The following is a 27714-nucleotide window of genomic DNA, read 5'->3' on the forward strand; positions in this document are numbered from 1 at the left end:
AAATCTCATCCTCCTATGGGACGTGAAGGAAAAGGGCTCTGGCTGGGAAGTACTGCTGTGCAGTGGTTAGTATAGTGGGTCTGAGGGTCAAATAGATTTGAGTGCAACTCCCAACCCAACTCCTACTACTAGCTTTGGGACCTCGGGTGAGTCACACAGCCCTCAGGTGCTACAGCTTCTATAAATAGTGATATAGTATTCTTACTTAAAGTGTGGCTGATCAGAGCAGCCCTTCCGTGGATCAACCACCCCATCAGAGGATCTATGTCTAGGATTGAGCCTTTTCTGCCCCAGGAGGTTCTTTCAGGTCCAGAGGCTTTCCCGTGGAGGGAAGAGAGGCAGCAATGAAATCAGCGTATAGGCGGACTGGGCTCTTTCCCCTTCATGTCTGCAGGGCAATGACCTCCTAGAGTCCGCTATGCACCCCCCACTTGCCTCTCTGGGCACTGCGAGGTGGAGCAGTTGTAGGACCAGGAAAAGCAAGAACAGAGCGTCCTCTTCGGCTACCCTACCCGGGAGTTCAGGCGCTGCGCCTGGCCCTCTGGGGCGTGTTTGACCATAACTCGCACCGCTTGCTCTTTTCCCATTTCAGCAAAGTCTTGAGCCTGTATTCTAGTACCTTTTATCAGCCTTGGGTAAGCAGCTCGCACGGGGTATATAAGGAGAATCAACTTTCTGAACTGAAAAAAATGTAAATAGTAAAGTCAGTCGTGCTTCTTCCTGCCGGTGACTGTTTACAAGAGGGAAGTCAGCGGGGCCCCCAAGAGGTCGCTGGTGGCGCAGGAACCGCATCCAGATTGTAAAGAACGGGGGAAGGAAAAAAAAAGAAAACACCCAGAAACTTTCTTCCTTGTTGCGAATAATCGCCGCCTCCCCCCCTCCGCCCCCAGCAGAAGCAGTAACGTGACACCCGAGCGAAATCCCGAGACCCGAGCGGAGAGGGAGGGGAGAGGGAGGAGAGTGCTGCGGAGCGCCGGAGGGAGAAAGGGGAGGAGAAGGAGGAAAACCCCTGTCAAGGAGGTGGAGCGAGGGGATGGTGTCCGCCTCCTGTTCCTCCCTGCCGTTTTTTAGAGAAGCCTGAACCGGGACAAAACACGCCGAGACCTACAGACACAAAGCCGGGGGGTCCACGCTGGCGCTGGAGGCGAGCCCCGGCGGCCGCAAGCGAGCCCGAGGCGCGGCGGGGCGCGGGGCGTGGGGACGCTAGCGGGCGCCGGACGGGCGCGGCGCCCCGTCACGGGCAGCGCCCCGAACCGGGGCCGGACACCTCGGCCGCTCGGGCCGCGGCGGCGGGGACCATGCCGAAGAAAGTCTCCTGAGCCCGGCAACTTCGGCCCCTCCCCGCCCCCACCCGGCTGCCCTCCGCGCGGCCCTCCCCATGTGCAGCCGGCCAGCCGGGCTCTCCTCCTCGCGGCGGATGGGTGACCTTTTCCTGGCACGGGCAGGCTGTGGGAGGCAGCGGAGCAGGCGATGAAGAAGAAGCAGCAGCATCCCGGCGGCGGCGCGGATCCCTGGCCCCATGGGGCCCCTATGGGGGGCGCCCCTCCGGGCCTGGGCAGCTGGAAGCGTCGGGTGCCCCTGCTGCCTTTCCTGCGCTTCTCCCTCCGGGACTACGGCTTCTGCATGGCCACCCTGCTGGTCTTCTGCCTGGGCTCCCTCCTCTATCAGCTCAGCGGGGGACCCCCTCGCTTCCTGCTCGACCTGCGGCAGTACTTGGGTAAGGAAGCTGGGCAGGCGCTAGGGCGGCGCCGACAGCGCAAAGTTGTGCGGCGGGGAGAGGGTCGCGGCGGGGACTTCTCGCGCTGCCACCGCGCGCCGCCGCCGCCCCGGGTCTCTCCAGGTGCTAAGCCCGTGAGCATCTGTGCCGCGGTCGGGAGCGCCTTCTTCCTCCCGCGCGTCCGACTGTCCTCACCGAGGCGGGGGCGCCGCTGGGTTGCGCTGCCGGCAGGTACCCCGGGGCGAGGCACCGCTCACCTTCCCCCCGCCCCACCTCCGCCACCCGGATCCGGACTGGGGCGGAGTGGATGGGTGTGTGGGGTGTGCCGGAGTGTGTGTATCTTCAGGCCTGGCGGCGCGGGGAGTGGCGAAGGGAAGGGAAGGTCCTCTTCGTTGCATTGTTAGTGACCGCAGTTCAGTCCCGTCCCGCGCCCCGGGGAGTGTGGGTGGGTTTAGCCCTTTGCCACCGTCCGCTCTGAGAATTCTGTCCCGCAGATCCCCCGCCTGCCCGCCGGCCCTAGTGGCTCCGCGCTGTCCCCGGGCTGGCTTGTCCCTTGGCTGCCGCTGCCCACCCCGCCGCCCGCAGCTAGCCTGGCGCGGGGAACGGGTTGCATCCAGGGGTTTGGGGATGCCCGAGGGCGCTGGTCAGCCTGGCCAGCAGTGTCGCCCCCAGTAACCCGAGGATCCTCGGCGCTGTGTGCGTCTCAAGCTCAAGTCAAAACTTGTGTGTGTGTGTGTGTGTGTGTGTGTGTGTGTGTGTGTGTGTGTGTGTGTGTGGTTTATTAGGAGAGAGGCCGCCTGTCTTTAGCAGAAGTAAGGAAGGGGTTTGACGGGAGGGAAAGAGCCGCTCCAGCGAGAAGGCGTGACCCCGCAGCTCCCTCGTCTCGGCTGCGGGAGCCAGGGGTGCCAGGGACAGGCGAGCGCAAGCCCAGGTCGCAAGGACGATGCTGGCACTCGCGTTCGAGCCAAGGGAGGATGCAGATCCCTCCCAAGTCTGTGGCCAGAAGAGGTCGTGCGGGGGTGAAGGCTGGGAGAGCTCCAGCTTCTTGCAAGCATCCGAAGTGATAAGCCTGAGCATCTGCACGATGAGAGCGAGTGCGGGGAAGCAGAGCCACCGAAGTGCTGGAAAGAAAATGGGCCAAATGACCCGGGCCAGCTGGAGGCTGCCACAGTTACCCCAAACGTCACTTCGTGGCAGAAGCCACAGGTCTAGATAGTAGACCGTTTGGAGAAAAGAGAAAAGAAAAGGAAAAAAAAAAAACCCAAAACAAACAAACAAAACAAAGCAAAACAAAAACAAAACCACATCAGCCAAGTTACAAATGTGTTAGGGCATTTGGAAATGTAGATGTGGATAAAATAATATTCTTTACCTTGTACAAGACCTCATATTTTAAAAGTTACACTTTTATTTCTTTATAAACTTTGGGGAACTACAGATTACAGGAAAAGTTGGCCCAAGTAGATTTCCATAGCATTTGGTTTCATAGAGGATTTGGGGCAATATATCCTTTATTAGGGAATCAAACCTCTTCTTTTCATAAGTTCTGTATTGTGGAGTCTCATAGCTTCCTCCACTCTCTGACACCTGCTAGTGCCACAAAAGTTAACAGTATTTTCATCACCAGCAGCAATCCCTGTTAACAGGCATTGGGAGGCAAGCGTTGAGGCTCAGGGTCTTTCTCCATTAAATCTGACAGTGAATTCTTGTGGAAGTTCTTTTTAAGTAATAGATGGAGGCCAGGGGTGTAGGGAAAAGTGTAATGGACCAGGATGGAAGTCATCTGTGCTCATTGTCCTCAAAGCACCTGGCCTCGTGTAGGGTACTCAGACTTCATAGGCCTGGTGTTTCATGGCAGAATTAGAAGCCACACCTGACTGTCAATGAAACCTCCACCCAGCTCCTAAAGTTTTGGGGTTCTGACACCTTTCTTGAGGAAGGGAAATTCTGGGAGGAGGAAGGAGCAAAGGTACTACTGAGGATAAAATCAAGACATTTCAACATATATTGCATTAACATTTTCACTTTATATTTCCAAACAATGAGGCCTAATAAATTTGGGTGGTCAGTTGGTAGAAGGGTGAATTCTCAGCTTCTGCTCAGGAAACTAGGAAGAACTGAAAGATTGAATGCTGCTCCTGTTACTAGCTGATCATTATATTTCTGACTGATGTGATAGGTTCAAAATGACATCATTGTGAACTGAAAATAGAATACCCTTGGCCAAATTTGTTCCCTGTTACGTAAATATAATGATTTTTGGGAAAAGTGGGCTTGTGGTATTTTGGATGGTCTAAAATATACCTTTAATAATATAAGGCCACTGTGTCTGCAGAATTACTTTCCCCTGTTTTCCTCCATTCTTTTATTTTAGTGTCTGTCAAAACAAAACTTGTGGTTAGTAAACACATCCTCTCAATTTCCTCAGCCAATTTTGGCAGCAAGTATTTTTCGTAAATGTAAGTTCATGTAAAGTAAAAATTTTCCAAATCAAAATATGTTTATATCAAACACTTTTCTTTACAGAGTATTATTTCAGTATACTTATACAATATTCTATGTCTGACACACAATGGCCACTCAATAAATATTGGTTGAATTAATGACCCAACCTGTTGTATCAAACAGGTAGTGTGATATTTAACGTACTGAATATTCTCATAGGAAAGCCAAGAGACAGTAGCATTCATAGTAAAAGCTAGTATTTATCACGCATGTGCCAGTCAGTGCATACACAGGGTGACATTCAATCTGCACAGCAACACTGTCGGTAGGTTCTATTGTTATTTCCATTTTCTGTATGGAAAAAATGAGGGCAAAGAGTTATGAAGGACACATAGCAAGCGAGGCAGGACTTCAACCCATGTCTGTCTGATTGCAATACCCATTGCATAGCACTATGGGCAGTTTAAGGGAGAAAATGGAAGGACAGCCAAGATGCAAATGGGAATCTAAAGATCGGGACTGGCTAAAAACGATCCATCACATTTACATCCATAATTCCACTTTCCTTTTCTTGATACTTGTACTCTGAGTATCTTGAGGAGCCAGCAGAGAAGGGAAATAATTCAAGCAGCTGGTTTGCTTTAACTCTACCTTTCCGTATTAATCCCCACTATGTGGCCTCCATTTATTTAGGGAACTAGACCCTCCCTGAGCTGGACAACAACTGGGAGTAATGTTGGTCGGACTCGCATCTTCCGGGCGTTTTCTCTTTCTTTAGCAGTTGTGCTATGTCTAGGCTAGTGGTTCCCAATGTGGGTCCTTGGACCTGCCGCATCAGCCTCACCTGGGAATTTGTCACAAATGTACATGCTAAGGTCTTATCCCAAAGCTGCTGAAGTCTGGGCACAGGGCCCAGCAATCTGTGCGTCAGCAAGTCCTCTAGGTGATTCCAACGCAGAGAATTTGAGAACCATTGTTGTTGAGCAACAACAAAGTATTGCTTTCTGGAGGCTTCCCATGTATTTGAGAGAAAGGAGGAATGTGAGGCGGGGTGGGTAGATTTATAAAGTATTTAAAGGTACTTTAATACTTTAAAGTATTTAAAAATGTGATTTAAAAATGTACATGGTTTCAGTTTTTAATTTCAACTTTTAAAAATGCATCTTGTTTGCTACTTAAGCCCCACTGTTTTGAGGGAAGGACCAGCCAACGGCACCCACCCCAGCTGGCTTTAGACCTTCCAAGGTTAGGAGAGGTGTGACGTGAGGAGTAGGCTGACGTGGGGCAACCGGAAAGCATAGTGTGGGGAAGGACGAGAACAGAGCCACTGATGATGCTTTCTCTTCCCCATAGGAGACAGTGGTGAACAGTCCTTCTTCCTAGTCAATTTGGGGAAAGGCAGAGTATGTTCTACTTAGAGAATGTTCTGCTGTAACACATTTGAAAAGAGTAAAGGAAGTGATGGGGAGGAAAATCATGCAAGGATAACTGTTATCTTGATTTCCCACCCTGAGATTGGGTGGAGGGGGAGCACAAACATACATTGGGGTAAATAGAAATATATAGCAAATGCTACACTTAAGCTTGGAGACCATGGTCTTTCCAATTCAGTGAATTTTTTTTTTTTGAAATGGCATTCAAACTTTGTTTTGCTATGGAAAACAAACAAAAAATCAAATAAAATCTCCCCCAGAAATTAGGTTATGATGCAGCCTTGCTGCCAGTAGCCTTATTACTTATGAGCTGTGGAAATATCAAAAACTTGGAATAAGACTCATTGATATAAACAGAATAAGCCAGATGGCTTACTACTGATCTTGTACAACCGACAAACTCTAATGATCTATCATCCAGCCTTGGATATGTGATTTAGACTTTATGGGAGCTAAACTTGTTGGACTCATTCCCAGCTGATATGCTTTCCTTTCCATTTTTAATTTATACCACTTTAAATGGAGATATAGAACTTTAGTTCTCAGAATTGCCAATCTTTACGTATATTATATATGAGCCTGGCAATTTAGAGTCAAAAAATGAAAAGTATGTCATGTTATTGAATTTGAAATTCTCTAAGTTTAAGTGCATTTAAAGGAAAATGTGAAAATAGAGGTCCATATCTGTTACAAAATAGTTTCTTTGAACCTAAAAAGCCAAATTTTATTTTTCTTCTGCATTTCACACATGGTATAAATATAATACTTTAGGCTCCAAACAGTAATCTAGGAAATGAATGCATAAAATATGACGTTATCAATAGAAATTGTTGACATAGAAAAAATGATATTCTTGTTCATAGCTACAAGTTTATATTGTGGGGTTGGTTGGGGACACAGTGGCACTATATTAGAGAAAGGATAGAAAATGGAATTCAGCTATGGTAATCCGTTCTGTAAACAAATAGCATGAATGGTGAAAAGCAATCTGCCTTGTAAACTATTTTTTAATGTAGACTAGTCTTAGTATGAATTGTCTAAGAACACATATAAATGTGGATTATCTAAATACTGTCTTTCTTCAAATTCCCTGTCATCAATCCAGGCTTAAGACAGTGGTTAGTTTTGTTTTGGAGAAACTGGAAAGAAAGTGGTCAAGGTTTTTGAGTCCCAAAATAAATAGTATCTTTTGCTTCCTCAGAGGGAGACTGAAGGAGCAAAAACAGTAGCTTGACCTGCAGCTGTACTGGTGGGTGTCCATGATGGACAATGAAAACGCATCTTATTTGATGGATTGTAGCTGCTAGAATTATTAGGAGTTGCTGCTTTTTTTTTGTTTTTTGGAAAGAAGACTTGACCACAAATTAATTTTGTCATAAATATATTTATTTGTATTACATAGAAACTCGGCTTTAAGCAAACAGTGATATACATAAATCCCTTTTTATCAGAAATAGGGACAGAAACACTAACATTTCACAAAAATTCTTATTTGCAAAAGTCAATGTAGCAACTGTTTTGCAAGAGAATTCCAAATAAAGTACATTTCAGCATTTGCTATTAGTTTTTAAACAGCTTTGTTGAGATATAATTCATATACCATATAATTCACCCATTTAAAGTTTTTAATAGTTTAATAGCTTTTAATATATTATAGATATGTGTAACCATTGCCACAATTTTAGATTTTCATCACCACAAGGAGAAACGCCATACCCTTTATCCAACACTTTTGCCCCATCAACCCCAGTCCTAAGCAACCGCTAATTTACTTTCTGTCTGTATAGATTTGCCTATTCTTGGCATTTTATAGAAATAGAATAATATAATATGTGGTCTTTTGTGATTGGCTTCTTTTACTTGACATAATGTTTTCAAGGTTCATTCATGTTATAGCATGTGTCAGTACTTCATTCTTTTTTATGGCTGAATAATATTTCCTAAGAATTTTTTTTATTGCGGAATAAAATGTTCCATAAGACTGTATGGATATTCCACATTTTGTTTATCCATTCACCCATTAATGGACATTTGGGTTGTTTTCACCTTTTGTCTACTGTAAGTAGTGCTGCTATGAACATTTGTGTTGCAAGCTTTTGTTTCAACACCTGTTTTCTGTTCTTATGGGTATATACCTAGGAGTGGGATTGCTGAATCATATGGTAACTCTAAGTTTAAGTTATTGAGGAACTGCCAAGCTGTTTCTACAGTGGCTGCACCATTTTACATCCCCCGCCAAGAAAGTATGAGAATTCCAATTTCTTCACATCCTCACTGCCATTTCTTATTTTCCATTTTTTTATTATAGCCATCTTAATGGGTATGAAGTGGTATATTCATTGGCGTTGTGTTTTGCATTAATGATGTCGAGTATCTTTTCATGTGCTTGTTGACTGTTTGTATATCTTCTTTGGAAAAATGTCTATTCACATTTTGCTGATTTTTTTTTTTTTTTTGAGATTGGAGGCTCGCTCTGTTGCCCAGGCTGGAGTGCAGTGGCGCGATCTCAGCTCACTGCAAGCTCTGCCTCCCAGGTACACGCCATTCTCCTGCCTCAGCCTCCCAAGTAGCTGGGACTACAGGCGGCCGCCACCATGCCTGGCTAATTTTTTTGTATTTTTTAGTAGAGATGGGGTTTCACTGTGTTAGCCAGGATGGTCTCGATCTCCTGACCTCGTGATTCGCCCGCCTCGGCCTCCCAAAGTGCTGGGATTACAGGCATGAGCCACCGCGCCCGGCCACTGATTTTCTTTAAAAAATTTATTTCCATAGGTTTTAGGGGAACAGGTGGTATTTGGTTACGTGAGTAAGTTCTTTAGTGGTGATTTGTGAGATTTTTGTGCACTCGTCACCCAAGGAGTATACACAGAACTCAATTTCTGGTCTTTTGTCCCTCACCCCCTTCCCACCCTTTCTCCCTGAGTCCCCAAAGTCCATTGTGTCATTCTTATGCCTTTACATCCTCATAGCTTAGCTCCCACTTATGAGTGAGAACATATGATGTTGAGTTTTCCATTCCTGAGTTACCTCAGTTGCCTATTTTTGAATTGGGTTGTTTGTATTTGTGTTGTTGAGTTGTAAACATTATTTATATATTCTTAACAGTAGACCCTTTTCAGATATATGATCTTGCTATTAATTTGGGGGTTGGGAAATATGATACTGACTTAAATACAATACTGTTATGTATTGTTCACTATATTATAGGTGTTCACCTTATCAAGGAGCAAGAAATTAGTTTTATATGTAAATGAGTTTTAAAGTGTTAAGTACGGTACCTGGGTATATAGTAAAACCTAAATAAACTCTAAAGATGGATTGAAAACAAGGATCTGTTCTAAAGAATCCTGGGGGTCTTGTTTTACAGTTATGGATTACTTTGAATATTAAACACTTTACATTTATCTCTAAGGTATGATAATTCATGGATAGTTAACACTTAACCTATTTTAGAGATGTCACAAAGATTGCTGTGACTTGTATGTGGAATATGAATTTAGCTAATTTTTGAACAGCAGATTATAGTACAATGGTTATATTTTGTCTTTATATTTGCTCACTAGAATGGAGCCGATGAGCTCAGCAGGAGAAAACATTTGGGTTTATTATGTTCCTTATACAATATATGAAGCAACCAAGGAAATCTTAAGCATTCTCATGAAATTGGAATTCATATGCAATTTATTTTGTATTCATGTTGTGGTATAATATGAAGGACAAATATATAGGAACAGTATTTGCTACGTATGTTTCTCTTGAGTAAAATAACTTATGAGTTTTAAGAAGAAATATTGTTTTTACAAAAATGACAGAAAATTTTAGTAGGTTTCAAAAATATATATAATCAAAATAAGAAGCTCTAAAATAACTGCAGTCAATTAGATGCTGCTTGGCCTCAGTTTGAATAATTGGCAACACTCTCTGAAATGGTCTGCCTCTATGTCTCTACCCAAATCTCATCTTGAATTGTAGTTCCCATAATCCCCACATGTTGTGGGAGGAACCCTGTGGGAGGTAATTGAATCATGGGGGCGGTTAACCCCCATGCTGTTCTTGTGATAGTGAGTTCTCATGAGATCTGATGGTTTCTTTTTTTTTTCTTTTTTTTTTTAATACACATTCCCCAAAACTGGATTACTGGGGTCCAGTATTCCAATTATGAGCATTTTTAATTTATTAAATTTTGTTAAATATTTTAGATCAAAATGTTGAAGTAATTTACACATAATTCACATTTCCTGCCACCTCCACAGAGCTAGATGTCATCTCTATAGTTCTGGTAATCATCCAGGTGAAAAATGGTAATATTTTTTAATTATACTTTAAGTTCTAGGGTACATGTGCACAACGTGCAGGTTTGTTACATACGTATACATGTGCCATCTTGGTGTGCTGCACCCATTAACTCGTCATTTACATTAGGTATATCTCCTAATGCTATCCCTCCCCCCTCCCCCCACCCCACGACAGGCCCCGGTGTGTGATGTTCCCCTTCCTGTGTCCAAGTGTTCTCATTGTTCAATTCCCACCTATGAGTGAGAACATGCGGTGTTTGGTTTTTTGTCCTTGTGATAGTTTGCTGAGAATAATGGTTTCCAGCTTCATCCATGTCCCTACAAAGGACATGAGCTCATCCTTTTTTATGGCTGCAAAGATCTGATGGTTTCATAAGGGGCTTTTCCCCTTTGCTCAGCACTTCTCTCTCCTGCCACCATGAGAAGAAGGATGTGTTTGCATCCCCTTCTGCCATCATTGTAAGTTTCTTGAGGCATACCCAGCCATGTGGAACTGTGAGTCAATTAAACCTCTTTCCTTTAAAAATCACCCACTCTCAGGTATGTCCTTATAGCAGCATGAGAACGGACTAATACACTGTCATTCAAAATTACCAGGGAACCAGATATAGCTGCTTAGTCTTGAAGCTACGCCATACCTCTTGGTCTGTCTCAGGGTTTATATTGATTGTCTATAATTTCCCCAAAACTGCCACTGATTCATTTTTGTTGTCTCGCTGCCTGCTTAGACTTCTGCTAATGTCTTTGTACTGATTGTTTAGGAAGGTACAATTCCAATTAGGATCTCTAAACTCCTGTAAGTATTTGTTTATTTCATGATCTCTTATGAAGTTTTGACATTCTACCTTGTATTGTGATCATCTGTGAGCAAGCACCTTGAAGGGAGGAAGCTTATTCAGTGCTTCGCATCCCTGCTCTGACATCTCTTCTGGGTGCTCCACACAGGCCCTCAGGAAGTGGCTGTTGATTCAGTATATTTGCTGAGCAACTGTTCTTCACTAGGATTCCAAATCCTGCTTTGTTTGGTCTCTATTTAGAGAATATGGGGAGGGATGCCAAGAAGGACTCTAGCTCAGTTGATGCCTTTAGCCTATTTCTTTCTTGCTCTTTGAAGCTGATGCTCCAAGCAAATACATTACAACCACTTATGACATATGAGTACATATAGTTTTGTTTAGAGGTGGTTGCCCATTCTAGAGTGTAGTGGTGCCATCAGAGCTCACTGCAGCCTCAACCTCCTGGGCTCAAGCCATCCTCCCACCTCAGCTTCTTGAGAAGCTGGGACTACAGGCACAAGCCATCATACCTGGTAACACAAACATTTCCTTCTGTGCACAGAGATAACTGTCCACTTCTTACCTTTGGGCATTTGGAATTACACTTTTAGAGCTCTCTCTGTAATTAAGAATAGCTGAGATCAGTTTAGAGATTTGTGTGCATACAGTTAGAATGCAAACTTCTTGTTACTTGTCATTTTCTGAAATCCTAGACCAGTTGTTTTGGAAGTTTGCAGAATAGCTGTTATTTCTGTAGGTTAGTGTCTTCTTTAGGTAGCAATTTGTGTTAAATTAGCCAGTATGTTTCAAGCATGACTTTAAGTCATGAAGGAGATGAGACCGTGGAATGATGTGATTTTTGAAATAGGGACTGAACAGAGTTTAACCTAGAACTGCAACACGACCATACTGTAAAATTAGGTCTCAATCCACCAACCCATTTACACTTGTTTGGTGAAAGATACTATAATAACCTTAAGTCATGGCTTTGATTAGGCAATTCTTAGTTAATTCATTAATAGATGATTTAAATAACCTATTACCTTTAACTGTACTGCATTTCTGGAAACACCATTGCTGTTTTTTAGTTCAAGGAGTACAATTTTCATAATCTTGATGAAAGAAAAATGAGAATATTCTGAGACATATGAATTCCTTTGTTCAGTCATTCAACAAATATTCATGGAAGGCCTTCTTTGGGGCAGAAGCATCAGGCAGTAGGAAGGATATAGGTTTTGGAGCAGAGCTCCGGGTGTGAAGCACTGTGTTACCATTTATTAGCTGGGACAGCTTGAATAATTTTATTAACTTCTCTGAACCTCTGATGTTTTGATGTATACAATAGGATTAATAATTGCTGTTTTACAGGATACTTCTCTAACCCAAGGCCTGACATTTAAGTTCAACAATTGCCAATTTTCTCAGCTTGTTCTTTGCTTCCCTTTAACTCCCTCTTCATTTAGCACACATACACATATGAGTGTACACACACACTCATATCAGAACACAGCTGGGGGAGTATACAGATTCACTGATAACCTGACTTCCAATTGAAAGAAGCAATCAAACCTAGAAATACACAATTACTTCACTAGTATTTGGCAAGGGCTCTTCAACACCTGACAAGTTCCGGTAATTCATCCATCCCACTAATTACATATATGTACCCCTTCCTGCTTCTTCTCTTCTGCTTCCTGGAGATAGTCTTTAAATGACACATTTTTTGCACAGCCTGATTTCCTCTGTTTTGAATTTATCCACACTACTTTTTTTGTTCCTGCATTCACAAAATAAAAATAGCTGTGTGGAGGGAGTATGCTGGCGCTTACTCTCTGGGATAGCCAGCTGTTCTAGGATTGCACTAGTGATCCATAAGATACATCCTTTCAGAAATAATCACAATGCCAGGCATACACTGTGCCTGCTCCCAGAACTTCCCCCATTCATGACGAAACTACCACGTCCAGTAGTACGCCCACTTTCTTTTCTCAGTTCCCACTTCCCTCTCATTGACAGTCAGAGCAAGAGCAGTGAACCGCAGAAGCAGATCTTGTGTCTTCACTTGCTTGTTTCCCAAGCTCAGCCTCTCTGTGTTGCCTTGCTCTGTTAGCCTCCAGTAGGTGTTGCGGCAAGTGAGAGCCATACCATCTGGCATGGCCAATCACCCAGTTCCTTGAGCAGTTGAAGGCAAATGCTGATTTTACATTATTTCGTAGAAAGTTGTATTTTGTTTGGGGACCTTAAAAACCCTGACCTTGTCATCCAGCACAGAGCTTCCTGCTTTAACACAAAGGCTGTTTGACATGAATGCCTTCCCATTGGATAAACAGAACCGTCAGGCAGAGCCATGCGGCTGGATGGAGGGGGCACTAGGCCTGGGTGTGCAGGGTGACCCGACAATAAGTCAGTTGTCGGTGTTAAGTCATGTGAGCCTCCAAGGCTTCAGTGTCTTCATCTCTACAATGAAGGAGTTTCATTAGATCCATGATTCTCAGCTGTTTCCGTTCCTTAGGACCCTCATCCATAGCAGTGTTTCCATAGGGTCTTGACTGTCCCTATGGGAATACATCTCAGTGGCCAGGAGAGGGAGAAAGGGCATGGCATTGGAAGTCCTTTTAAAAAAGTCCCTGAGCTCACGCCTGTAATCCCAGCACTTTGGGAGGCCGAGGTGGGTGGATCACGAGGTCAGGAGATCGAGACCATCCTGGCTAACATGGTGAAACCCCGTCTCTACTAAAAAATACAAAAAAATTAGCCGGGCGTGGTCGCGGGCGCCTGTAGTCCCAGCTACTAGGGAGGCTGAGGCAGGAGAATGTCATGAACCCAGGAGGCGGAGCTTGCAGTGAGCCGAGATCGCACCACTGCACTCCAGCCCGGGCGACAGAGCGAGACTCCATCCCAAAATAAATAAATAAATAAAAATAAAAAAATAAAAGAATGCGGCGTACGCGGTGGTTCACGCCTGTAATCCCAGCTCCCTGGGAGGCCGAGGCGGACGGATCACAAGGTGAGGAGATCGAGACCGTCCTGGCTAACACGGTGAAACCCCGTCTGTACTAAAAATACAAAAAATTAGCCGGGCATGGTGGTGGGCGCTTGTAGCCCCAGCTACTCGGGAGGCTGAGGCAGGAGAATGGTGTGAACCCGGGAGGTGGAGCTTGCAGTGAGACAAGATCGCACCACTGTACTCCAGCCTGGGCGACAGAGCGAGACTCTGTCTCAAAAAAAAAAAAAAAAAAAAAAAAGTCCCTGAGGTAATTTTTCTGTGCACTCCCAGGGGAGAGTGTTTCTTTTCTCTTGAGAATCACTGAAGTAGATCGTTCTAAGATCTCTGCTGTTCTTCAAATCATGTGCTGAAAGAGACAAGAGGTCATATAATTGTAGCAACTGAAACAAATATAAGGCTATTTTCTTTGGACCCAAACACTTATTTTAAAAATTGCAGAAGTCAAGTGACCAAGGCAAGTAGAATACACAAAAACATTTTAGGCCATCGTTGTCATTTTCTGAGTCTTAATCATAGTTAAATTTTTTCTAAAATTAAAATCAGCAGTGCGTTTCCTCCACCTCCGCCAGAACTTGCTCTAGAAATTAGGGGAAGCAGAATGTCCCCAGGAAGTCCTAAGAGAGAAGAAGCAGAGTAAGACATGGGTTTCCAGAGTTTAGAGTCTCACTATGTGATAGGTGAAAGCTGTGTTGTTGATGAGGATTTGCACAGCCTCCTCCCGGTTGCCTGCTACTGACCATCCCATTTCACTGTGGGCAGCTCCAGTGGGTAAGAGGGTTCTTCACAGTGTGGTGAGCTACTCCTTTCTAGCCTCCATCCATTTTTTGCTGTTCTTCTGGAAGCTATATAGGCTTGTCTATTGGACTTTATAGTCTTCAAATAATTGAAGATACTAAAATGACTATTATGTCTACCCTGCTCTGCTACACACATAAATCTTGTCCAGACAAATAGGTCTGTTTACCAGTACTTTCTCATCAGAAGTCATTTGAAGACACAGAAAGTAAAAACCACAAAGAAAAAAAAAACTATATTAAAGTGAAAGCTCAACAGTAACACCCCATAACCATAGCAAAACAAAACAAAACAAAACAAAACAAAACAAAAAAAAACCACAAACATCTCCCCAGGAAATAGAACTAATATGCAGGTCTTTAAAAGTTCAGTTTATCAATGAGAAAAAGATAAACCAACTCACGAGATAAATGGGCAGAGTACAGGAGCAGTCACAGAAGAGGAGACACGGCTGGCCAGTAAGCACAAAGAGAAATGAAATGGTTTTGATTCCCTTACACATCTTAGCCCCCTTCCTCTGTCTACATGGCCCGTAAAAGCCACAGAACTGAACAGTTTTCCAGTTCCCTCAGTGAGCCTGCTTTGTGCAGTGGTATGTTACTGTCAGAAGGGATCCTCTTCGAAGCTGTGGTATTTGAGAATGACTGCTCCTCCCACCGCTTTTCTGAGGGTGTTAGCAGGAGTGCAACAGAGCCTTACTTCAAGGCCCCCAGCGGGCTGGCTGGAACCCTGCTTCAGCTCCTCCAAGCACGTGCGGCCAAGTTCTGGGAGCCACGTCGATGTGGGTTGATGGGTCCCCTGAGACGCCCTCTCTGCTCAGAACACAGCCAGTAAGCCATGGGCAGATCACAACAAACAGCACCCTGCCTTCTGCTCCGCCTCCCTCCATCTACCACACTGCCAAGTTCCTAAGAAGCTTAGGGGAGAAGGAACTGCTGTGGTGCTTAGAATGCAGTGTCTTGCCTGAAAGTATTTTCTCAGTCTTTGAGAAAACAGTGGAACTGACTCATCTGGTCAGAGCTTTACAGAAATGTGATTGCAGATCTCTTGCAATTTCATTCTGCTTTAGTGTCAGAATTCATCCGACAACGTGCCAAAAAAAAAAAAAGTGTGTAAAATCACATACAGATTTAGATACTTCAAGAGGAAGTTATTTTTACCACAGTGGGGAAGAAACCAGAAAGTGCCGATTGGTGGAGAATGCCCGGCAGGGCTGAGGAAGGAGGGTGGGCACCTGAGCAACCTGGGCCTGGCCACACTCACCCCTGCAGCCTTGCCAGCCTGGCCCGGGGATTGTGGTGTGGTCACCTCTTAGCAGGTGGAGGGAGGAGTTCCTGTGTGGAAGATCTGCTTGAAGGAGGAAATGTTGATATAACCCCCGAGTGTGGAGCCAACTTCAGCAGTGCGGGGTTAACATGGGTTACTCTTGAAAATGTGTTGCGTGCTCTCCCAACAGTCCATAGAAGCAGCTCTCTAACAGCTGCATGGGACACAAAAGTAAAAATGGAGAAACGATTCCAGAAAACCACATAAATATAAAAACCAAATGGCGCAGTGTCTTTATTTTGTTTTGGCAGATAACAGGATTGAGGCCACCTTGTTTTCTTTGCTCATGCATTTCCCAACTCAAAAGGCTGTTCTTGTTTGCTTGTAGAGCAGAGATCCAAGGCCTGAGAGACCCTGAAATGTTTGTAGTTATATTCTTCATTCGTGCTGCGAGATAAAGAGTTTTCCCAGAAACTAAAGGGAGGGAACAGGAAATATTTGTTAAGATCCATAACCTCTGGCTTTTGTCTCCTCTTTTCACCTGGGCAAAGGATATCAGTGATAATATTTTGGGTCTCATAAGATGATGAATTGTTCAAATGTATTTGGAGAATACTTTATTCAAGCATCTTTGTCTTTCTTTCCTATTCCTTGTGGCTGAAGAGAGGCATGTGCTTTTTATGCAAGGGTCTTGAAATGTATGCAGTTACCATGGTGGCACTCTGTCTCTGACCCAAACTCTGTCATAGAGTGTATGTTTAGCCATGTTTTCAGGGGTGCTTCCTAGCGTGGTCAGGAGAAACTGCTAGAGCTGAATTTGGTTGCTGGGCAGGCTTCTATCTTTTTTTTTTTTTTTTAATAGATGCAGGGAGTATAAGTGCATGCTTTTTACATGGGTATATTGCATAATGGTGAGGTTTGGGTTCCTAGTGTACCCATTACCCAAATAGTGAACACTGTACACAAAAGGTAATTTTTCAATCATCAAGCCTTTTCTCCCTCCCTGCTTTTGAGAGTCCCCATTGTCTGTTATTTCCCTCTGTATGTCCATGTGTACCCATTGTTTAGCTCTCACTTCTAAGTGAGAATGTGTGGTATTTGAGTTTTTGTTTCTGAGTTACTTCACTTAGGACAATGGTCTTCAGCTCCATTCCTGTTGCTGCAAAAGACATCTGTATATAGACCACATTTTCTTTATCCAGTCATCTGTTGATGGACAGTTAGTTTCATTCCCTGACTTTGCTGTTGTGAATAGTGCTATGATAAACATACAAGGGCAGGTGTTTATTTGATAGAATGATTCTTTTCCTTCCCGTAGATACCCAGTAGTGGGATTGCTGGGTCGAATGGTAGTTCGATTTTTAGTTCTTTGAGAAATCTCCATACTGTTTTCCACAGAGGTTGTACTAATTTACATTCCCACTAACAGTGTGTACATGTTCCCATTTCTCCCCATCCTTGCCAACATCTGTTGTTTTTTGACTTTTTAATACTAGTCATTCTGACTGGTGTGAGATGGTATCTCATTGTGGTTTTAATTTGCATTTCTCTGATAATTAGTGATACTGAGCATTTTCTCCTTTGTATTTTTGTGGGCTGCTTGTATATCTTCTTTTGAAAAATGTCTGTTCATGTCCTTTGCCCACTTTTTAATAGGGTTATTTGCTTTTTTCTTGTTGAGTTATTTGAGTTCCTTGTATAGATTCTGGATATTAGTCCTTTGTGGGATGCATTTTTGCAAATATTTTCTCCCTTTCTGCAAGTTGTTTGTTTACTCTGTTGATTCTTTCTTTGCTGTACAGAAGCTCTTTAGTTTAATTAAGTCCCTTTTGTTTATTTTTGTTTTTGTTGCATTGCTTAGCCATATATTCTTTGCCCAGGCCAATGTTCAGAAGAGTTTTTCCTAGGTTTTCTTCTAGGATTCTTATAGTTTCAGGTTTTACCTTTAAGTCTTTAATTCATCTTGAGTTAACTTTTTATATGGTAAGAAAAGGGGTCCAGTTTCATTCTTCTGCATATGGCTGTCCAATTTTTCCAGCACCACTTATTGAATAGGGTATCCTTTCCCCATCGTATATTTTTGCCAACTTTGTTTATGATCAGTTGGTTGTAGGTAAGCGGCTTTATTTCTGGGTTCTCTACTATCTTCTATTGCTCTATATGTCTGTTTTTGTACCAGTACCATGCTGTTTTGGTTACTATAGTCTTGTAGTATAATTTGAATTCAGATAATGCTATCCCTCCAGCTTTGTTCTTTTTGCTTAGGATTGCTTTGACTATTCAGGGTCTTTTTGGTTCCATATGAATTTTAGGATTGTTTTTTCTAATTCTGTGAAAATGACATCGGTAATTTGATAGGAATTGCATGTAATCTATATGTTACTTTGGATAGTATGGGCATTTTAATGATATTGATTCTTCCAATCCACATGCTTGGGATGCTTTTCCATTTGTTTGTGTCATCTACAGTTTTTTTAATCAATGTTTTATAATTCTTGTGGAGATTTTTCACCTCCTTGGTTAAATGCATTCCTAGGAGTTTTATTATTTTTTGTGGCTATTGTAAATGATATTGAGTTCTTGATTTGGCTCTCAGCTTGAACATTATTGGTGTATAGAAATGCTGATTTTTGTACATTGATTTTGTGTCCTGAAACTTTACTGAAGTAATTTATCAAATCTAGAAGTCTTTTGGAGGAGTCTTTAGGGTTTTCTAGGTATAAGATCATGTCATCAGCCAACAGAGATAATTTGACTTCCTCTTTTCTAATTTGGATGCCTTTTATTTCTTTCTCTTGCTATCAGGGGAACCCACCCCCGATAATTCAACGTGGGTTCTTTTCTATTTCCTTAAGTGTCGGCCGGTCTGAGAAATAAAGGGAAAGAGTACAAAAGAGAGAAATTTTAAAGCTGGGTGTCCGGAGGAGACATCACATGTCGGCAGGTTCCATGATGCCCCCTGAGCTGTAAAACCAGCAAGTTTTTATTAGCAGTTTTCAAAGGGGAGGGAGTGCATGAATAGGGTGTGGGTCACAGAGATCACATGCTTCAAGGGCAACAAAAGGTCACAAGGCAGAAGGTCAGGGCGAAACTAGAATCACTAATGAACTTCCATGTCCTGCTGTGCACACAATGTCAGGGTTCAAGAGCAGAGAACCGGTCTGACTAGAATTTGACAGGCTGGAATTTCCTAATCCTAGCAAGCCTGGGGGTGCTGCAGGAGACTAGGGTGTGTTTCATCCCTATCTATATCTGCATAAGGCAGACACTCCCAGGGCACCCATTTTAGAGGCCCCGCCCTAGGAATGCATTCTTTTCCCAACGCTGTTAATTATTAATATTCCTTACTGGGGAAAGAATTTAGCGGTATTTCTCTTACCCATTTTGGGTAATAAGAGAAAGGCAGCCAGACTTTAAGGTTATCTCCCTTGTTCCCTGAAAATCGCTGTTATCCTGTTCTTAAGGTGCCCAGATTTCATATTGTTCAAACACCACTTATTGTTTCAGCACCACTTATTGAATAGGGTATCCTTTCCCCATTGTATATTTTTGCCAACTTTGTTTACGATCAGTTGGTTGTAGGTATGTGGCTTTATTTCTGGGTTCTCTACTGTCTTCTATTGCTCTATATGTCTGTTTTTGTACCAGTACCATGCTGTTTTGGTTACTATCATCTTGTAGTATAATTTGAATTCAGATAATGCTATCCCTCCAGCTTTGTTCTTTTTGCTTAGGATTGCTTTGACTATTCAGGGTCTTTTTGGTTCCATATAAATTTTAGGATTGTTTTTTCTAATTCTGTGAAAAATGACATCGGTAATTTTCAAACACACATGCTCTACAAACAATTTGTGTAGTTAATACAATCGTCACAGGGTCCTGAGGTGACATACATCCTCAGCTTACGAAGATGATGGGATTAAGAGATTAAAGTAAAGACAGGCATAGGAAATCATGAGAGTATTGATTGGGGAAGTGATAAATGTCCATGAAATCTTCACAATTTATGTTCAGAGATTGTAGTAAAGACAGGCATAAGAAATTATAAAAGTATTAATTTGGGGAACTAATACATGTCCATGAAATCTTCACAATTTATGTTCTTCTGCCTTCAGCCTGTCCCTCCGTTCGGGGTCCCTGACTTCCTGCAGCATCTTGCCTAATTGCTCTGGCTAGGACTTCTACTATTATGTTGAATAGTGTAGTGGGAGTTGGCATTCTTGTCTTGTTCCAGTTCATAGGGGAAGTTCTTTTAAATTTTCTCCATTCAGTATGATGTTGGCTGTGGGTTTGTCCTATATGGCTTTTATTATTTTGAGGTATGTTCCTTTGATGCCTAGTTTGTTGAGGGCTTTTATCATGAAAAGATGTTAGATTTTATGGAATGCTTTTTCTGCAGCTGTTGAGATGATCGTATGGTTTTGGTTAGGCTTATATCTTCATACTTCATTTGTTTTATGGCATAATGCGTTTCTGTGCCAAAATATAGCCTCTCTTCCCCAGATTTTTTCCCTGTCACCTTGTCAGAATGATAGTTGACTTTGTTAATTGCAGAGTAAGTCTTGCTCACAAGGCTTATTCTTCATTGAAGTCTCACATCAATGAGCCTTAAAGGATCAGAGACACATGTTCTCCTATCACTCTCACCCACTCACCCACTTGCTCTCACCCACTCACCCACTTGCTCTCACCCACGCACCCACTTGCCCTCCTTTATATTTAGCTTGGCAGTCTTCCTCTGTTTTCTTTTCCATCTAGACAGGTTCATTCCTTCAACAAATGCTCATCAAGCACCAGTTATATGCTGAGTGCTAAGATAATCACCGTATTCATGGGGCTGTGTTGTACCTGGAGGGACAGAGAAGGACTTAAGATCCCGTATGAGGTGTGTTGAACAGGGGGAGTTAAAAGAGGTAGTAGAGGCAGTGATTGGTCATGCCTGGATATGGTTAGACTGATTATCTCTTTCCTAAAGGCCCTGTTGATGCTAGTAGATCAGGAGGTACTCAAGACTGGCTGCATGATAGAATAACCTGGAGAACTTTGGAGAATACAGATATGTGTTCATTTGGTCAAGGGTGTATGTGTTAAAAGCTCCATGGGTAATTCTAATATGCAACCAAAGTAAAGAACCACTGTAGCAGATACAGGGTCGGAGAGTTTTGTTTGTGCAGTAAATCCTCTTACAGTACTATTTAGGGATGCTTTATCTTAATCTATAATCTTTATTTGTCTATGACTTATAACACTTTAGCTTACAGCTTCTCTACTCTGGCATCTCTCAAACTTTAATGTGCATGCAAATCACTCGAGGATTTGTTAAGCTATAGATCCTGATGTAGCAGGTCTGGAACTGGGCTTGAGATTCTGCATTTCCAGCAAGCACCCAGGTGTAGCTGAGGTTGCAGTTGGAGGGCCACATTTTGAGTAGCAAGGGTCTATACCATAGCATTTCTGGGAAATAATGAATACCTGTAAACAACAAATATGTCAGGGTTCAGCTTAGCTCATTAAAGATCTGTGCTATTAAGCATTTCATAGATATCTTTTAAACTGAATTTTCATTCACCAGTTTGATTGTTCCAATTTAAGAACATTAAGTATTTCTTAAGTGAGAATCACACCCTTGTATGATTTCAAGTTTAAAATGGCTGTTTTTATTTATCTTTGGAAACTATAGTATTAAAATATAGGCTATTTGGAGTTTTGTGAACATACAGATTTTGACCTAATGTCAAGTTTGTTAATAAGCATTGAGAGCAAACCAACTGGTCTTAGAGATGAAGTTTCTTCAAATAGTTGTTGCAGATTCGGTACCGTTTTACCGTTTGACTGTTAGGCATACTATCAAAATTCATTACCAAAGTTTCCTGACATACAAATATTCTAGGTAAAGTTTTTTTTTTATAGCCAGAGAAAATAATTGGATGCACATAGAGTGAATAATTAGAATGACTCTGTGTAATTATTTAAAAACACAATTTTAAGAATTAATTAAAACTGTTAATACATGCTCATTGTAAAATACTGGGATACAGGAAAAAAGCACAAAGAAAATAAAACACACATTAATTTCTTTGTTCACAACTGCTTTGGTTACATGCTTCCTCCACTCTGTAGTATCATAGATATCGTTTCACATCTTTATATATTTTTTTACAACATTGGTTTTCATGGTGGCAGAGTGGCCTGTGAATATACTATTAATTCCTATAAGAAGGCTTTTTTGATATTTGGCCCATTTCTAGTTTTTTTTGTGGTTGTAGGTAAGGTTGTGATGAACATTATTAAATTGTTGCAGACTTCCCTATTGCCTTGGGATAAATTCCTAGACTTGGAATTGCTGGTTAAATGTATACCAATTTTTAAACTGATTTTACAAACCGGCACATTGATATGGCTTTGTATATTTCACTAGGAGTCTATTACCTGTTTTGCCTATACCCTTAAAAACACTGGATGCAATCTTTTAAAAATCCTTTACTCATTTGATTGGTGAAAATGATACTCTTATTCTTTAATTTGCATTTGTTTCAATATTAGTGAAAGTGAACCAGTTTATGCTTGTAAGACATGGGTCTTCTTTTGGGAATTGCAGTTTTAAATTTCTTTTGCAATTTTTCTCTATAGATGTGTTCCTCTTTCTCTTATCAATTCTAAGAGTTCTTTAGAGATGAAGGATATTAACCCTTTGACATACATGCAAGTAATAATTTCCTGGCTTTTTATTTGTCCTTTTGTTCTAAAAGTCAGTTTCTTTTATTTTTCCTGTGCATTAATTACATTTTCCCATTTATTATTCTTTTCTTTGCTTTTAGGCTTAGAAAAGACTTATATCCCATCAGATACAAATTCTCTATATTTTCTTCTCATTCTATTGTTATTTCACTTTTTCATTTACTTTTTAAATCCCATTGGCATTTATTTTGGTGTAAAGTAAATTAACTCAATGATACTGCATGTCTGTCTGGAAACAAAGTCGTCATTTTGAATGATATCCTTCTTTAACAGTAAATGAATTTTTAAAACATTAAAATGAATTGATTTGAGTTGAAAGCTTTTTAGAGGACTTTTGAAAGCCCTGTTTGTTGTTTGATCCTAAATTTTGGCAGTGGGAGTGCTTCTGAGGCCATCTGGTCCCTCTTCGCGATACTAGAACCTGTGCTTGGGCCTCTCCCTTCTGCTGCCTCTCTCAGCTATGATTCTCAGCACAGGTCCACAGATGCCCTTGTTCCTGGAGAGAACTTTTGTCCCCACATCTGTGGAACCTGTAGTTGCTAGCTCTCAGGCCAGGCAGACATGGCCACTGTCCTCCCTGGACCTCTGTTGGCCTGGATTGCCCATGTGCAGGATTGGGTAACTGTATGGATCTCAGCCTCCTGGATTCCTACTGGGTCTTGAGCAAAAAACACAACCCCTGGACAGCTGCATGCAGCCTTGCACATACACCCTTTGGGTGAGCTCCTCAACAACAGCCTGGCTGTCTGTTTGGGGTATCTCAGGAACACAGACAGCACTCATTTGAACACTATTTGTATAAGCAGCTAGATGGTGATCATTTGTTTAGTTCCTGTGAATTGTGGTCCTTTTTAATGTCTACAAAATTCAAGGCACCACAGACATTTAAAGGCCAACAAGATGGACCAGTAGAGGTATATTTTCTGTTTAGGAAATTACATTTTCTTCTGTGAATTTGCCTTTAACGGGATGTTTCATATCACAAGAGGCAGTGTAGTGTTAACAAAACATTGGGCTTCAAATCAGAAGTCTTCTGTTTGTGTCCTGGCATTGCCACCGTGCAGCTGTGTGACCTTGGGTAATTCACTTAACCTCTCTGAGTCTCTGTTGGAACTTTAGAGGGACTCTTTCTGTTCTATAACACCACCATCAAATTATAAAGAGACTGCTGTGTGGTATTCTCCAGCCTAGAATACTGTGGAAATTTGCATTTGTAATACCTGTTAATACACATACATGTCTTCAGTTTAGTCAGTCATTCAGAAGCCTGAGCACAGCAGGTGGCAGATGGGAGTATAGGAATGTAGGAGCCTGTGTTTGTGTGTGTGTGTGTGTGTGTGTGTGTGTGTGTTGTCTTCAAACAAACTCATAAAAATTCTGCCGCTAGGCATTCACAAACAGTGGTTGTTTGTTGTATAGATCCCTACTCTTTCTGTCACTTTTTTTTTTTTATAGGAAAAGACCTTCTAAGATTATGTAAATTACATTTTCGTTTACTGGCTATTTTTATGCATTTCCTGTTCTTTCAAAGGACTAGATAAAAATTTTCTGTATGTCCTAAGATCTCTGACTGCCTCACTTTAAATTGTAAAGAACGATTAAGAGTTCTAAAACATTGACCCTGCGATCATTGGATAAGATTTTAATTTTTTCAAGATTAAAAAAATTGAGTGTGCTAATGACATAAAGGTTCTTGCAAGAGCTGCTAGTCTAGCCTCTGATACAGATGTGTATAAATTCATCATCTTCGTGCAGACATTATTGGTAATAGAGATTTGCCCACATAACATGGGGAGCACAGAGGAGAAGAGAGAAGGAGAGGGATTCAGGGAAAAGGTGACACTTGAGCTGGGCATTGAAGCATAAATAGGCATTTTCTATGTAAAGATGTGGGAAAAGGGCATTCTAGATTCTAGAAAGAAGAGCACGTGCAAAGGCAAGCCACTGGGCAAAATTGTGGCATTTTTGGGCACACGAAGCAGTACAGAGTGGCTGGCCAGAAACCATGGTAGGGGAAGGGAAGAGGGTTGCTGCAAGGTAGGCGCCTACAGTAAAAGGAACTTGTACGTTACACTAACTGGTATGCAATGAGAAGCCACCGAACATTTTTAGACCACAGAGTGAGAGCAGATTTCTTATTCACAAACTCAACTCTATAAACAGAAAGGAAGAGCTGAAGCCATGAGAGAGCCTAGGGCAGGCGTCTGATACAGTCCTCATATTTGAACAGTGCTTTACAGTTTATAAAGTACTTGCACCTTTGTTGTCACGTGCACCTCTTCCCTCTCCTGAGTGGTGGGTGTTAAGCTTCCTCTGCAGACAAGGAGCCTGAATTCAGAGACATGAATGGCCCTGGGTTGCTCAGCTGGTGCAGCGGGCAGAGGGAGAGGTCAACATGTCACCGAGGTCCTTTGCCTTTTCGCCTCATGCCACAGGGAAGCATATTTCAGCAAAATACTGAAATATTTTTCCAACTTTTTAAATGAGATTTGACTTTCAAAGTAACTTTAATCTTGATTAAAAAAAAAAGTTTGACAAGACAAACAACTTTTATCCTGCAGGTATTGATTTAGTAGAACAGAGTGATGTCACTGTGCCTTGTTGCTGACATTTTCCTGTTATGATAGCCTTCTACAAGCTGATGGTTTGTTTTTTCTGATTAGCTAAAATGGAAAGAAAAATCTCCAGTGTGCTTTTATTAGGATAGGATATAACATATCTTAATTTATGTTTCAGTTATTTCAATAACTTTGATCATACCATTTTGTCATAGATTAAGTTGGCATTGAGGCTGTAATTTCTTGCTGTTTGGAAATGACTCTTTATTGAGTAAGGCAGATTTATTTTCTTTGTGCCATTATTGAAGATTATAGAAGTGGCTCTGCTTCCATTTTACCTAAAGTCGCATAGGCTGTGGCTGTTGAGCTTGCATTCTGAGCGTAGCTTTTTGTAGAGCTGTTCAGCCTTCCAACGCTTGTTGGATGACATCCAGCCCCACCCTGTTCTGCCACCTGCTCTGGAGAGGTCTAAAGCAAAATGTTCCAGTCATTTTTGTTTCTAAACCAGAAGCAAGTTTCTACATCTTTAATTTTGTTAAAATATAGTTGGAAGAGAGTAAGTCTAGGTCACAGAAAATTGAACTGTGCTGAGATGGAGTGGGTAGGTGGATAGTCCTTTAGATAATGAGTCGACTATTAGAATTTAAAGGCATCTTTCTAGAGAAGAGATGAAGAAGAAAACAGCTCTAACAGGTGCTCCATGCCCCAACTGAGCCTGTCTGAACTTACACATGGTCTAGAATTTATTGGATGATATATGTTTACTAAGGTAATTATAACATGTACCTGAAATGAGAGAGTTTTTGCAGGTAACTACTAAATTTGTAGCTGAATTTTCTGGAGGTCAAAGCAAAAAGGGAGTGAAATGTATCATATGTTACCATTGTCCAGTCTAAGGTGCACACTAGCTCATTGGGAAAGGGTGGCCTCTGTCTTCCTACCTCCCCCAAAAGGAGATATCTATTCGATCTTAGAGAATCATAGGGACAATACCTCCTTCAATATTTTTTTTTCCCCAGAAATGGGGACATGTTCTTCATGAGGCTGCACTATACATTGGCTGTTTATAAAAGTGAAAGCATAATATCAAACCACAGCTCAGTGGTGGTATTTCCCTGGGGAGCTGAACCTTTACAGTTTAGGTGTCCTACTTTTCATTGGTTTTATGTGTTTAGAAAGGAGAGAGAATAGAATATTGAGTTTGTGCCTGGTGGTTTCTCTTTATCGGTTTCTGCAGCCTTATTTTTGGCAGGAACAGGATAGCAGTCAGTTGAAGGATGCTATGTGCCCAAGGTATAACAAATCAGTGTGAATCGCACTGGGTGGGTGATTAAGGAGCCAGGCGATGTGCTGGTTCCTTCTTCCCTCTTACTGAGCAGCCTGCTTGGGGTTGGCTGGGCCTGGTGGAGAACTTACCTTGGGTGGGCCCTTCTGACCTTTTTTTTTTTTTGAGTTGGAGTCTTGCTGTGTCACCCACGCTGGAGTGCAGTGGCACAATCTTGGCTCACTGCAACCTCTGCCTCCTGGGTTCAAGCGATTCTCATGCCTCAGCCTCCTAAGTAGCTGGGATTACAGGTGTGCACCACCATGCCCGGCTAATATTTGGCATTTTTAGAAGAGACAGGGTTTCGATATGTTGGTCAGGCTGGTCTCAAACTCCTGGCCTCAAGTGATCCTCCCACCTCGGCCTCCCAAAGTGCTGGGATTACAGGTTGAGCCACCGTGTCCAGCCCCTTCTGAGCTTTCAGTGTTACTCCCCATCCCTAAGACATGAGATCTGGGCCAGAATCTTTCTCAGAGGGGGAAATTCCAAATGAACATATTTTGAATGTCTTAAAACCTTATCTGTTAGAGGAACTTTTAAGAAAAGATCAAACATACTTCCAATTTTACAATAGTTGTCAATTAGAGGATGGAATTGATTTTACTATTTTTCAACAACTTTATTAACATTTTTTTGCGAACCTCTTTTTCCAATTCAGCAAACTTTTGCAAGTCTTGACATATTCTTATTCTAGGCATTGGTGGGTACGTGATCTCACAAAATTGTTTAAGGAATTTTAAAAAAAATTATAGAAAATAGGATCTATGTTGAAAGAATTATAAAGTGCATTACAATTTGAGACTTAAATTTCCATATCTTTTAATTTTACCTAAATTTATATGAATTTTAAAATGGTGATTGTTGGCCAGGTCTGGTGGCTCACGCCTGTAATCCCAACAATTTGGGTGGCTGAGATGGGTGGGATCACCTGAGGTCAGGAGTTCGAGACCAGCCTGGCCAACATGGTGAAACCCCATCTCTACCAAAAATACAAAAATTAGCCGGCTGTGGTGGCAGATGCCTTTAATCCCAGCTACTCAGGAGGCTGAGGCAGGAGAATCGCTTGAACCCGGGAAGTAGAGGTTGCAGTGAGCCAAGATTGTGCCACTGTACTCCAACCTGGGTGACAAGAGCAAAACTCTGTCTCAAAAAAAAAAAAAAGTGATTGTTTTTCATGTTTGGAATTATATGACATGTATGTATTAAGAGTCTAATTTATTTTTCAAGTATAAATGAGGTAAATGCAAATCCCAGAAGACTGTTTTCTATGCACACACAAAACTACATTTCTTTTAGTACACAGGGAAAGGTAAATATTCAAATTCTTTCCGTTGGGTGACATTTTGTTCACATATTTTTG

At 42.0% G+C, this 27714-nt stretch overlaps 1 protein-coding gene and 1 long non-coding RNA gene across 8 annotated transcripts in view, besides 9 other annotated features; one reads left to right on the forward strand and one right to left on the reverse strand.

Annotated features, from left to right (window-relative positions):
- Nucleotides 699-758: an enhancer, noted in NCBI's record as "active region_25236". NCBI's record gives its function as "activates an Ori minimal core promoter by ATAC-STARR-seq in GM12878 lymphoblastoid cells {active_cell/tissue: GM12878}" and the evidence as "EXISTENCE:reporter gene assay evidence [ECO:0000049][PMID:35858748]".
- Nucleotides 819-898: an enhancer, noted in NCBI's record as "active region_25237". NCBI's record gives its function as "activates an Ori minimal core promoter by ATAC-STARR-seq in GM12878 lymphoblastoid cells {active_cell/tissue: GM12878}" and the evidence as "EXISTENCE:reporter gene assay evidence [ECO:0000049][PMID:35858748]".
- UST (uronyl 2-sulfotransferase) overlaps nucleotides 1070-27714 on the forward strand; it is a 329961-nt gene continuing 303316 nt past the window's right edge. For all 7 annotated transcript variants that reach the window (XR_001743088.3, XR_007059195.1, NM_005715.3 and 4 more), the window contains exon 1: nucleotides 1070-1717. Coding sequence is in view for 5 of the 7 variants with exons in the window: in NM_005715.3 (NP_005706.1) it covers nucleotides 1471-1717 (247 nt within the window). In the remaining 2 variants the exon portion in view is untranslated. The remainder of the gene's footprint in view (nucleotides 1718-27714) is intronic.
- Nucleotides 1469-1558: a silencer, noted in NCBI's record as "silent region_17652". NCBI's record gives its function as "represses an Ori minimal core promoter by ATAC-STARR-seq in GM12878 lymphoblastoid cells {active_cell/tissue: GM12878}" and the evidence as "EXISTENCE:reporter gene assay evidence [ECO:0000049][PMID:35858748]".
- Nucleotides 1859-2028: a silencer, noted in NCBI's record as "silent region_17653". NCBI's record gives its function as "represses an Ori minimal core promoter by ATAC-STARR-seq in GM12878 lymphoblastoid cells {active_cell/tissue: GM12878}" and the evidence as "EXISTENCE:reporter gene assay evidence [ECO:0000049][PMID:35858748]".
- Nucleotides 2207-2708: an enhancer, noted in NCBI's record as "H3K4me1 hESC enhancer chr6:149069303-149069804 (GRCh37/hg19 assembly coordinates)". NCBI's record gives its function as "activates a minimal SCP1, AML or CMV promoter by ChIP-STARR-seq in primed H9 embryonic stem cells {active_cell/tissue: H9 hESC(primed)}" and the evidence as "EXISTENCE:reporter gene assay evidence [ECO:0000049][PMID:30033119]".
- Nucleotides 2709-3208: an enhancer, noted in NCBI's record as "H3K4me1 hESC enhancer chr6:149069805-149070304 (GRCh37/hg19 assembly coordinates)". NCBI's record gives its function as "activates a minimal SCP1, AML or CMV promoter by ChIP-STARR-seq in primed H9 embryonic stem cells {active_cell/tissue: H9 hESC(primed)}" and the evidence as "EXISTENCE:reporter gene assay evidence [ECO:0000049][PMID:30033119]".
- Nucleotides 11944-27603, reverse strand: LOC107986659 (uncharacterized). The gene is made up of 2 exons (XR_001744408.2): nucleotides 14872-27603; nucleotides 11944-14019 (listed from the first exon to the last, which is right to left on the reverse strand). It is a non-coding gene; the product is annotated as an uncharacterized LOC107986659 (long non-coding RNA).
- Nucleotides 14758-15508: an enhancer, noted in NCBI's record as "NANOG-H3K27ac-H3K4me1 hESC enhancer chr6:149081854-149082604 (GRCh37/hg19 assembly coordinates)". NCBI's record gives its function as "activates a minimal SCP1, AML or CMV promoter by ChIP-STARR-seq in naive H9 embryonic stem cells {active_cell/tissue: H9 hESC(naive)}" and the evidence as "EXISTENCE:reporter gene assay evidence [ECO:0000049][PMID:30033119]".
- Nucleotides 15762-15901: an enhancer, noted in NCBI's record as "active region_25238". NCBI's record gives its function as "activates an Ori minimal core promoter by ATAC-STARR-seq in GM12878 lymphoblastoid cells {active_cell/tissue: GM12878}" and the evidence as "EXISTENCE:reporter gene assay evidence [ECO:0000049][PMID:35858748]".
- Nucleotides 23293-23923: an enhancer, noted in NCBI's record as "NANOG-H3K4me1 hESC enhancer chr6:149090389-149091019 (GRCh37/hg19 assembly coordinates)". NCBI's record gives its function as "activates a minimal SCP1, AML or CMV promoter by ChIP-STARR-seq in primed H9 embryonic stem cells {active_cell/tissue: H9 hESC(primed)}" and the evidence as "EXISTENCE:reporter gene assay evidence [ECO:0000049][PMID:30033119]".

This window comes from Homo sapiens, chromosome 6, assembly GCF_000001405.40.
Source record: "Homo sapiens chromosome 6, GRCh38.p14 Primary Assembly".
Classification (NCBI taxonomy): Eukaryota; Metazoa; Chordata; class Mammalia; order Primates; family Hominidae; genus Homo; species Homo sapiens.